Source organism: Homo sapiens, chromosome 20 (assembly GCF_000001405.40).
Source record: "Homo sapiens chromosome 20, GRCh38.p14 Primary Assembly".
Lineage (NCBI taxonomy): Eukaryota > Metazoa > Chordata > Mammalia > Primates > Hominidae > Homo > Homo sapiens.
Window position 1 is genome coordinate 2,972,160 of NC_000020.11, and position 12,472 is coordinate 2,984,631.

General features: G+C 41.7%; 1 protein-coding gene across 28 annotated transcripts in view; it reads left to right on the forward strand.

The window, feature by feature from the left end:
* Positions 1 to 12,472, forward strand: part of PTPRA (protein tyrosine phosphatase receptor type A) — a 174,486-nt gene that overhangs the window by 107,976 nt on the left and 54,038 nt on the right. For 13 of the 28 annotated variants that reach the window (NM_002836.4, NM_001385306.1, NM_001385320.1 and 10 more), the window contains one exon: positions 3,056 to 3,082. The exons of the other annotated variants lie outside the window; for them this stretch is intronic. In NM_002836.4, coding sequence (NP_002827.1) covers positions 3,056 to 3,082 — 27 coding nt within the window. The remainder of the gene's footprint in view (positions 1 to 3,055; positions 3,083 to 12,472) is intronic. 28 annotated transcript variants of the gene reach the window in all.

The following is a 12,472-nucleotide window of genomic DNA, read 5'->3' on the forward strand; positions in this document are numbered from 1 at the left end:
GTCTTGCTCTGAATTAATTCTTTAATCTTCTTAATTTTTCTTTTCTGTTGACCTTTGCTTTGCTTTAAGTCTTTTCCTTTGAGTCATCCAGGCTGAAGTACAGTGGCACGATCATGGCTCACTGTAACCTTGAACTCCCAGACTTAAGCAAACCCCACCTCAGACTTCTGAGTAGCTAAGGACTATAGGCGCATGTCACCACGCCCAGCTAATTTTTAAATTTTCTCAGAAACAGGGACTCACTGTGTTGCCCAGACTGGTCATGAACTCCTGGCCTCAAGCAGTCCTCAGCCTTAGCCTTCCAAAGCACTGGGATTATAGGCATGAGCCAAGGCCGCCCAAACATATTGTATCGTTCCTGTAACAAGCTGTTGCAGTCTATTTGATATTATTTCTTATTTTTTTCATTTAGAATTTTCTCTGTCTAGATATTCTCAAATTATCTCTAAATGAGATTGATCTATGTTTTTCCTTTGTGTGTGTATTCTTTTTGATAAGTTTTAGTTTTTAGTGTTTTGTTTTGCTACATGGAAAGGATTTGAAAGTTTACACTAAAAAATATGCTTTTTTTTTTTAAGACAGGCTTTTTCACTGTTGCCTAGTGCTGGAGTGCAGTGGCATGATCTCGGCTCATTGCGGCCTGCACCTCCTGGGCTCAGGTGATCCTCTCACCTCAGCCTCCCAAGTAGCTGGGATTACAGGTGTGTTCCACCATGCCCAGCTAATTTTTTGTATTTTTTTGTAGAGATGGGGTTTCGCCATGTTGCCCAGGCTGGTCTTGAACTCCTGGGCTCACATGATTCTCCTGTCTTAGCCTCCCAAAGTGCTAGGATTACAGGTGTGAGCCACCACATCTGGCCATTTCATTCATGTTTTCAAATGTATTTGAATGAGGAAAAGTTCTCCCTTGTGATTATTTATTATAATAGCCTACAGAGCTATTAATTTTTAAATTTTGTTTACTTTATGTCTCCTTTTTTTTTTTGTTTAGGCTGAATAACCATTTATTTCATAGGTTTATTGCCTTTTTTCTTCCAAAGAACTTGCTATTGTGCATTTATAGTCCTTTTATGTTTACGTTTTCTATTTCATTGATTTTTACTTTCTACCTTCTTTAGATTTATTTTGTTCTTTTTCTATCTTCTTGAATTGAGTGTGCTTTAATTGCATTCTTTCCAGTTAATTAACATATTTAGTGCTGTGAATTTTGAACAAGCACAGCTTTAGCCACATCCCATAGGTGTTTCTATAGGCAGTTGTATTAGGATGCGCTATAAGCTGCTCTGACAAAGATACCAAAATTCAGTGACTTAAATAAGACCAAAGTGTCTTTCTCTCCCCAGTTACATTCCAGAGGTAGACAGGGCCTTCGTCTCAGTAGGGACCAAATTCCTTTCCTCTTGTGGCCCTGCCATCCTAACAATATTGCCCTTATCTGTTTGGTTAGAGATAGTTCTCACCATTGGGTTCTAGTTCCAACCACTGCGAAGGACAAACAAAGGGAATAGGGGCCATTTCTCTTCCAAAAGATGTGACCTGGAAGTTACTCACATTGCTTTAGCTCACATCCCGTTGGCTAGAATTCATCACATGACCACACCTAGCACAAAGGAGTCTCAAATATAGTCTGCCAGGAGAGCTTGGTGCTCAGCTAAAAAACAAAGGTTCTGTATCAAGGCAAGAAGAGAAAGAGACTGATCTGAGGGGAGGAGAGTTGGCAGGTTCTGTCACAAAACTTCTCGTCATTGTTATTTTTAAGGTATTTTTCCATTTTGGGTTTTTTGTTTGTCTGATTTTTTTTTTTTTTTTTGAGATGGAGTCTCGCTCTGTTGCCCAGGCTGGAGTGCAGTGGCGTGATCTCTGCTCACCGCAAGCTCTGCCTCCTGGTTCACGCCATTCTCCTGCCTCAGCCTCCCAAGTAGCTGGGACTACAGGCGTACACCACCACGCCTGGCTAATTTTTTTTTTGTATTTTTATTAGAGACAGGGTTTCACTGTGTTACCCAGGATGGTCTCATTCTCCTGACTTTGTGATCTGCCCACTTCGGCCTCCCAAAGTGTTAGGATTACAGGCGTGAGCCACCGCGCCCGGCCGTCTGTTTGATTTTTGAGATGGAATCTCACTCTGCCCCCCTTCTGGAGTACAGTGGTGTGATCTTGGGTCACTGCAACCTCTACCCTCCCAGGTTTAAGCAATTCTTGTGCCTCAGCCTCCCAAAGTGCTGGGATTAAAGACGTGAGCCACTGTGCCCAGCCCATTTTGGTTTTGATTTTTTTTTTTCTTTGAAATAGAGTCTCGCTCTGTTACCTAGGCTGGAGTACAGTGGCATGATCTCGGCTCACTGCAACCTCCCCCTCCTGGGTTCAAGTGATTCTCGTGCCTCAGCCTCCCAAGTAGCTGGGATTATAGGCACCCACCACCACGCCCAGCTAATTTGTTTTGTATTTTTAGTAGAGACGGGGTTTTACCATGTTGGCCAGGCTGGTCTCGAACTCCTGACCTCAGGTGATCCACTGCACCCGGCCTCATTTTGGTTTTGATTTTTATTTTCAAATGTTTTCTTACTTTGTCAATTTCTAATTTTATTGCATTGGGACAAAAGAATATTGTACTCTTTCTACTGTTGGGGTTTATAAGGGCTGTGGATATTTCACTCGCCTTTGAAAAGAAGGTTTTCTCTGTTAGTCTGTAGAGTTTGGTATGTACCAATTAGATTTTATTACTTATCATTTTGGTCTTTTGTATCCTTACTTAATTTTGTCCTCTTGAATTTTAATGGAGCAAAAGACATAAAGTCCTCTAATAACATGCGTTCTGTTTGCATTCTCATACTTTTTATGAATATTGATGCTGCACTATTTGTGTACCCAGGGAGAAGGCCAGACCACTGTCCAAAGTTTAGTGAATCTGGGCAGCCTTGTTTCCCAGTTGTTGGAGGATGCCTCATGGAGGAAAGCATTCCTAATCCTGGAGCTTGTTTTGTTGTACTCTAATTGAATTGTAATGTGTTTCTTTAACCTGAATGAATGTTTCTATTTTTTACTTATTACACAGGTAATTCTGACTCGAAGGACAGAAGAGGTGAGCTGCTCACCTTATATCTGTTGTTCCTTTTACACAGTGTACAGTATTCATTTATTTCCTCTGCTCACAGTCTGTGGTAACCGTGTGCATCTGTGGCTGTGTTGTTTGTTTACTTTCCCTTAAGTTATTTCCATGTTAATCTCATGGAGAAGAGCAATAGAAACAAGTACTGTATTCAGTATGTTTTTTAATATAGACTATGGATTCTAACAGCTATGATGTATTTTAACAAGTAACAAAATATATCTTACTTTGACATGTCACTTTGTTAACATTACTTTTTGGTGATATTAGGTCATAATTTCTATACCATTAGTTACTTCTGATTTCTAGGCCACAGTTCCCTTTAAATATTCTTTGTGTTGTTTTTCCCCTAGTGTATAAAATGTCAACCCTTTGTGGCTTTATATGGATTTTATGGATTTTCAGCCCTTAAATGTAAAGTCTCTATGGCCTGAGATGTTGTGTCTGTGGTTTAAGCTGGACTGCTGAGTCCCTGGTCACTAGAGAGTAGGGGGACATGGGTACTTGTCTGCAGAAGTGTGGCACATTTTGCCTAGAATGACAGTAAGGCTGCTATCAAAGAGCATGAGAGAAAGAGAAAGAGATCATCTAACATTCTAAGAAGTGATTATTACATTTGAGTTTTAAAAATGTTACTATTCGAAGCAGTGTTTTTATCATAATTTTCTATTTTATCAAATCAGACTTGAGTTTTTTTTCTGATTCTGTTATTTAACCATACACAATTTTCCCTGTGTAATTAAGTAATGGAACACTTGGAGGCATATGAAGTCCCACTAAGTAGGGAGCATTTGAGTCAGAAAAGTGGGTACTCTCTTCCTTTATGTGATGTCCATCTGCCATTGTATTTGGTAAGGAATAGTGAGGTGTTACCATACTGTGTACAGATTTCCCTCACTTTTCCACCTCTCACTTTCCTAAACTTGGGAACTAAACATTGGATTAATACAGTGTCTTTGCTGTTCAGATTCACTTGCCAGATTTTATCAAATGTAGACTTAAATAGGTTTTATTGTGATAGATATTTACTTGCTCCCTAAAACTGCTCTCTTAACCAGCCTTACAATAAAGTCAAAAGTCAAAGTGGTAGGCTTCAAGATGAAACATAAGATCTGTTGACTCCTTCCTCTATTTAGTATATATTTTCATAATATTCAGCCTTTTCTTGCCCCAGATATCATATCTATTTTACCTACCCAATATTTAAGTAGTTTCCATGTTGTGATTAAGAAAACAAAATTACCATAATTACCTAGATTATTGCTAATTGTGACATATGTAAAGTCTATTAATGTAATAAATCTCCTTTCTTAAGTCAAAAAATAATTTTGTGTAATTCCAAACAGGAAACTGAAAAGGCATAGGTATTCTCAGCAGTCTCTAAAGTCCCAAAATCTAATGGCAATTTTACCAGAGCAGATCTTTAGAAGTATTGCTATAAATTTGGATATCCCATTCTAATTTTAAGCCAAATGCTTTTTGAGAAATAAGCCAGCTGTTTGGAAATGCTTGTATTATAATCGGTTTGATAAGCAGTTATGTCTTATGCAGATGAATTAGGGGCTACCTGTTTTTATGCACTGGTCTTTGGGGTGCTTTTGAACAGTAGTGTCTGATGTTTTAATTGTCAAAGCAAAAAGAAATGAGAGGGAGGGCAACTTTTCTTCCTCTTCTGAAGTCCAGGAAACTGGTTATTTTCTCATGCATATTATTTTAAAATATATTCCAGCCAGGTGCAGTGGCTCACGCCTGTAATCCCAGCACTTTGGGAGGCCAAGGCGGGTGGATCACAAGGTCAGGAGTTCAAGACCAGCCTGACCAATATGATAAAACCCCATCTCTACTAAAAATACAAAAATTAGCCGGGCGTGGTGGTGTGCGCCTGTAATCCCAGCTACTCGGGAGGCTGAGTCAGGAGAATTGCTTGAACCTGGGAGGCAGAGGTTGCAGTGAGCCAAGATCGCGCTCTTGGCTGCGATCCAGACTGCACTCCAGCCTGGGTGACAGAGCAAGACTCTGTCTCAAAAAAAAAAAAAAAAATCAGACTCTTAATATTTGTAAAGAAGTAGTCCTTGAGCTACTACTTAAGTCTAGAAAGAGTTGATATTCTTGTTTTAAGAGTGTTAGGGCACTTTGGGAGGCTGAGGCAGGTGGATCACTTGAGCCCAGGAGTTCCAGACCAGCCTGAGCAATATGGGGAAACCTTGTCTCTACTAAAAATACAAAAATTAACCAGGCATGTGGTACGTACCTGTAGTCCCAGCCACTTGGGACGCTGAGGTGGGAGGATCACCTGAGCCCAGGAAATGGAGGTTGCAGTGAGCCAAGATTGCGTGACTGTACTCTAGCCTGGGCAACAGAGCAAGACTCTGTCTCAAAAAAAAAAAGGGCGGGGATTATCATAGTGCCATTATTATTATGAGTTTATGATGGCTTTCTCTAAGCACCTTTTACATTCGGCATTTATTCAGTACCTATTAAGCATCAAGGAGTCCAGAAAAAATTTTATATATAAATATATATAAAATATGTAAATATATATATGCATATGCTTCCCTATCTCAGGAAGGAAATATGTGAACATCAGGAACCGAAGTCTACTCAGTTACATGCCATTGGATATATCACACAAAGTGCTGAGGGAACTCAGAAGGCTCATTATATCTGGGGAGTGGGAAGGAGGCACAGAGATGTGCTTTGGGAAGTTTAAATTAAAATAGCAAATGGGGAAAATGAAGACACACCAGACAGGGCACAAGCAAAGAGACATGAAAGAGTAAGTCATGTGTTTGAGGATCTGTGCGCAGTTGACATGTGTGAGGTGTGGGGAGTGATCAGAGGTGGCCTCAACAGAATGGGTGTGGTGGTCCACTGAGTTCAGGAGTTGGAGCATCTCCTGAAGATGATGGTGAGTAAGGAAGTAACATAGTCAGATTTTGGTTTTAGAAAGATATTCCAGAGGACTTAGGGGAGATAGATGGACAATAGAAATTTAGGTTTCTGAATAATTTGGCTCAAAACAACGGTGATTGGGCTCAACCCAGTGGTTAGATTCTAGAGGCAATCCAATGAATATTGCTGTTTTTAGAGCCAATAGGAAACATTTAAAACAACATTACAACCTTGCCTTTGAGAGCTGATAAATACTTGTACCAAAAAGTGTGGCAATAGGTAAATGGGCCATAGGAACTGGGGCTATAGGACTATGGCTATTCCTTTACTGACTAGTTTGTAGTTGACCAGTGTGTGTCTGAAGTCCTTAAGTCACTCACCTGTTTAGAGGTGAGCCCTTCAATTAATATGGCCCTTTGTTTTCAAGGAAAGAAGTTATAGCAAGTAGGTATCTGTTGTCCCGGGACACCATTTTAGTGGTTTTCATTTTCATGCTTGCTCCCTGGCCTGAATCTAGAAAGTAAAACTTTGCTGGAATGAAGTTGGGGTTGAAACAGTTTCGGTTTGTAACCATACTGTCTCTGTCTCATCTACTCAGCTCTGCCTTTGTAATGTAAAAGCAGCCATAGATGGTATGTAAATGAATGAACATGGCCATGTTCTGATAGCATTTTATTTACAAAAACAGGCAGTGGGCTAAATTTGGGCTATAGTTTGCCGACCCCTCTTCTAGGCAAAGAACTGCCTGAGCGTAGGAAGCTGGACTGAGGTTCTCTGCTAGTGTGTGAACTTGTGGATGCCAAAGCCAATCTCTTCCCTTCATGTCAGACACTTTGCAAATGTTACCTCTTTTAGATCTCCCATTAACTCTAAAAGGTGGAGGGTGCTATTATGCTTCCATTTCATACATTGTTCTAAGAGATTATCACACTACTAGTAAGTTAGGATAGTAGGAATTTGAACTTCAGGTCTGTCAGACCCTAAAACCCCATGCCCTGGAAATGGTTTTCTAAGGCTGGCCTGTGGTTCGTTGGTTGATTTCAATTAGAATTTAAGAATTTTTTCAGAATACATCTAGGTGTAAAGATTTTTTTGTCAATATTACTCCACAAACTAGATTATTTCTTTTGGCCTGATAACTCAGGAACTTTCTTGTATTACTTCTCTCCCTTCTTACTGGTTTCTTCTTTGGACTCTCCTGTTGCACAGGTATTGGATCTCCTGGACCTATCCAGTTCCTTTCTTTTCTATGCTGTCATATTTTTCATCTCTTATTGCTCTGTGTTCTGGGAGCTTCCAGGACAGTTGCTCTTTCACACAACTAATTTGGTTTTCAGTTATATCAGTTCTCCTATTTAGCCTTTCTTTTTTTGGAGGCAGGGCTGGGGCAGACTCATGCTCTGTCGCCCAGGCTGGAGTGCAGTGGCCTGATCACAGCTCACTGCAGCCTTGACCTCTGGGACTCAAGCGATCCTCCAGCCTCAGCCTCCCGGGTAGCTGGGACTATAGGCATATGCCACCATGCCCAGCTAATCAGGTGTTTGTTTGTTTGTTTGGTAGAGACAGACTACCAGAGTCTCGCTAAGTTGCCCAGGCTGGTCTCAAACTCCTGGCCTCAAGCAGTCCTCCCACCCTGGCCTCCCAAAGTGTTGGGCTTACAGGCATGAGCCACCGTGCCCGGCCCTGTTAAGCCTTTCTATCTAGATTTTTTCCCTCCTAATCATGTTGGTGTTTTTTTGTTTGTTTTCATTTTTGTTTTGTTTTGTTTTGAGACGGAGTTTTGCTCTTGTTGCCCAAGCTGGTGTGCAATGGCACGATCTCGGTTCACCGCAACCTCTGCCTTCCAGGTTCAAACGATTCTCCTGCCTCAGCCCCCAGAGTAGCTGGGATTACAGGCATGTGCCACCACACCTGGCTAATTTTGTATTTTTAGTAGAGATGGGGTTTCTCTATGTTGGTCAGGCTGCTCTTAAACTACCAACCTCAGGTGATCTGCCTGCCTCGGCCTCCCAAAGTGTTGGGATTACAGGCGTGAGCCACCATGCCCGGCCAGTTTTTAAAGAACTCCTTCTTACTACTCAGATTACTCCTTTTTAAATAGTGGCTTTTAAAAAATATCAATGTAGGCTGGGCACAGTGGCTCACACCTATAATCCCAGCACTTTGGGAGGCTGAGGCAGGCTGATCACCTGAGGTCAGGAGTTCAAGACCAGGCTGGCCAACATAGTGAAACCCTGTCTCTACTAAAAATACAAAACTTAGCCAGGCCTGCAGTTCCAGCTACTAGGGAGGCTAAGGTGTGAGGATCGCTCGAACCAGGAGGCCGTTGCAGTGAACCAAGATCACGCCAGTGCACTTCAGCCTGGGTGACGGAGTGAGACTCCGTCTCGAGAAAAGAAAAAAAAACGCAATGCAGCAGTGGCTCACGCACATAATCATAGCATTTTGGGAGGCCAAGGCAAGAAGATCACTTGAGACCAAGAGTTCAAGACCAGCCTGGGCAACAACAAGACCCCCTCCCCCCATCTCTACAAAAAATTTAAGAAAAAAAATTTTTTTAAATCAATATGGCATCCTGTTGCACAAATTGCAGTATATTTTGAAAGATTTATTCTGTTTCTTTTGTCACCTCCATTTCCCAGGGCTACTGTTGCTCTGTTTGAGCTATGCCCTGGACCATTGAGTGGCTTAGACTGTGCTCACAATAGGTGTCCCTTCATCCCTTCAGAAGACAAACATGGACATACGTCCTAAACCAGGAAGGGGTTCAGTGATGGCTCAGGAAAATCGGGGCAGGGTGCAGTTATCCTCTAGGCGAGCTGCCGTTTTCTTTTTCCTTTCCTCTCTTGTGGTTGCCTAGAATTAGCTTGGGCACTACTATGGTTTTTTTCTGTCTGCAGGCCCCAGGAGACCTTCTGTGGACCCAATATACTTAACAATCATATGCAGTGTAGACCTGCTCTGGTGTCAATTCTAACCAAAACAAAAAAAAAGCATTTATGAGACACTCAGGGAAATTCAAGCAGTAACTGAATAATATTAGATGATACTAAGGAATTAGTGTTACTTTTTAAATTGGATAATAGTATTATGTTTATGTTAAGAATCTTGATCTCTTGGTGATACATACCTAAGTAATTGCATTTGAAATGCTAGGTCTCGGATTTGCCTTAAAAGAATTCAGTTAGAATGGCGTGAGTATAGACCAGTGGTTCCTTACTGGGGGCTATTTCCCCCACAAAGGCATTTAGCAATGCTTGGAGATACTTTTGGTCATCAAAATTGGGAATTTGCTACAGACATCTAATAATTAGAGGCTAGGGATATTGTTAAATGTCCTACAGTGCACATGACAGACCCACATAACAGAGAATTGTATAGCCCAAAATGTCATTAGTGTGACGTTGAGAAAATATATATGCAGCATATGTTTTGTAAAAAAGAAGCCCTTACCAGTCTCTGTGACAAACTCTCTACTCTGTGTAGAGCACTGTTTTTCCAGCTGAGTCTAGATGGGAAGCCCCGCTTGTCATTTGGGCTGTGGGTGTACTGGTGCTGGGTTGGCAGGCCTTTGCTTAAGTACCATCCTGGTACCTCAAGGTCCACTTTCAACCCCAGTCCCAATTCCCTCTGAGCTTGAGGTGTTTCCAGGCCCAAACTGGTAGAACTAGTACTTAGTTTTCAGCTGGAGGCTCTTTGGCTCTGTTTGATCTCTTGGACATCGAGTCTGGTCTGTTTTGTCTTCCAGAAATCTCTCAAAGATTCTGATCTACATATGCCACCGTTTGCTGCCTTTCAGATATGCTGTTGATTCATTAGTATTTTTATATTTCTTCTACCATGTCAGTGTGCTTTGGGGGAAGATGAAGTAAATTCATGGATTTAGCCCAGTGTCTTAAGCCAAAGGTGCCTAATTACTTTCTTCTTCTTCTTTTTTTTTTTTTTTTTGAGGCAGAGTCTCGCTCCGTCACCCAGGCTGGAGTGCAGTGGCACGATCTTGGCTCACTGAAACCTCCGCCTCCTGGGTACAAGCGATTCTCCTGCCTCAGCCTCCTGAGTAGCTGGGACCAGAGGGGTGTGCCACCACACCCGCTAATTTTGTATTTTTAGCAGAGACGGGGTTTCACCATATTGGCCAGGCTGGTCTTGAACTCCTGACCTTGTGATCCACCCGCCTCGGCCTCCCAAAGTGCTGGGATGTGCCTAATTACTTTCTTATAATACCTGATATACTGCCCCCTGTTGTTGGAATTTAACAAAGACATTTAGTGATAAATTACTATTTTTTTTTGTTCTTTGGCTCAACGTAATCCATTGTTTGTTTTGTGCCTGTTATGTGTGAGACCCTGTGCTAGGTTTTAGGTGTACAGTGAGAATGAAGCAGACATGTAATCCTTGCTCTTGTGGAATTTATGCTATAAAGGAGGGATATTCATTAATCAACAAAGTCAAATATGTAATTATAAAGTGTGAGAGGTATTATCAAGGAAAATAATAAGGTCCTTGCCTTACAAAAATAGTATAGGAAATAACAGCAATTTTTTTTTTTTTTTTGAGACAGAGTCTCGCTCTATTGCCCAGGCTGAAGTGCAGTGGCGCAATCTCGGCTCACTACAACCTCTGCCCCCCAGGTTCAAGCGATTCTCCTGCCTCAGCCTCCTAAGTAGCTGAGATTACAGGCATGTGCCACCACACCTGGCTAATTTTTTTTGTATTTTTAGTAGAGATGGGGTTTCACCATGTTGGCCAAGCTGGTCTCGAATTCTTGACCTCATGATCTGCCCACCTCGGCTTCCCAAAGTGCTGGGATTGCAGGCGTGAGCCACTGTGCCTGGCCGTAACAGCTAAAATGAAGTACACACTGTGTGCTAGTTACTGTGCCAACAACTTTACATGAAAGATCTCATTTAATACGCAGAATAACTTATTTCAGAAATGAGGAAACTGAGACTTATGATCCTAATTTAGTATTAGGAAGTCAGAGAAGACCTGTGTGGGAAAAGTGACACACAGAGAACCAGACAAGTAGGAGATAACCAGGCAAAGAACAGAGAGAGGCTGTGTAAAGCAGAAGGAATAACATGCTCAAAGGCCTGAGGATGAATGAATGAAAGCATGGAAGGACACCAGTGGCTGAAATTGAGTGAGCAAGGAAAGAGTGCAAGAGATAGGGCAGGTAGGGGCTAAATCGAGGGGGTTGTTAGAGTCCAGGATAAGGAGATTAGATTTCATTCTGAGGCATGAGAAACTGTTGGAGGGTTTTACCTAAGAGTGGGACACAACCTGAGTTGCTTTCCTAGAGATCACTCTGCTTTGTGGAGAATGGATTGGCAGGGGCAGAGGCTTACTGTGATCCAGGTGAGAGAGGATGGAGGTTGGGACTACACTGGTGGCAATAAAAAAAATGCAAAAAAAAAAAAAAAAAAAGGCAGACAGATTTGAAGTTTTAGATATATCTCCAAAATATATTATTTGCAGCTGTGCTAGATATAGAAGATAAGTGTGAGGAAGAAATCAAGGGGGTTTCCACATTTCTTACTTGAGCAACAGGGTGGGTTGGAGTACTAGCTACTGAATGGTGAGGGAAAGGTTTTAAACACAGAAAGCTTGTGTTGCCTATGAAATTTAAAGTGGAGGTGGCAAATAGGCAGTTGAGAATCTGGAACTCAGAAAAGAGGTCTGATCAAGCAAAGCAACTGTGGGAATTGCTAGCATGGCATTTATATTTACAGTCATCTCTCTGATCAGATTAACTAGATATAGAGAAGAGTGCCAAGGACAGAGCCCTGAGGAATTCCCACATTTAGAGATCTGGTGTTGGAAGAGGAACAGATAGTGAGGGAAACTGAGATGGGCAGACGAGATAGAAGGAAAATCAGAGGAGTGTTTCGTTGTGGAAAGCTAAGAGAGGAAAGTGCTTCAGAGAGGAAGGAGTGATCAGCCAGTCTGAACACTCATTTTAAGGTGAGAGCCACATACCACAGTATGTTTGAAACTTACCATTAACAAAGAAGCGTCATGTAATGTCTTCCATCTCTAAAAACAAAACCAAAAAAAACCCATCTGTCCACCTCACTCACATCTCCCTCCATCTGTCATTCCTTTCCTCTGCATCCCTTAATGTTAAAAGTCCCCACGAAAGGACCCAGTGTCTCACTGTCCTTTTTCTATCTTTATTTCACTCCATTTAGGCTTTCTCACCCATATTCAACTGAAAATACTCTTGGAAAGGTCACCAGTAGCCACCGTCTTGTCAAATCTGGTTTCACTTCTCTGTCTCATCCTTCTTAAGTCTGTAGGCAGTATTTGATTGAATTGATTGCTCCCTCCTTGAAAAACTCTGCTCTTGGCTTCTATGACACTACATTCTTAGATTAACCTCTCACCTCATGGCTACTGCTTATGGGTCAGTTTAGCTTTTAACAGAATGTAAATCCAGTTATATATCTCCTCTGTTCAAAGCCCTTCGAT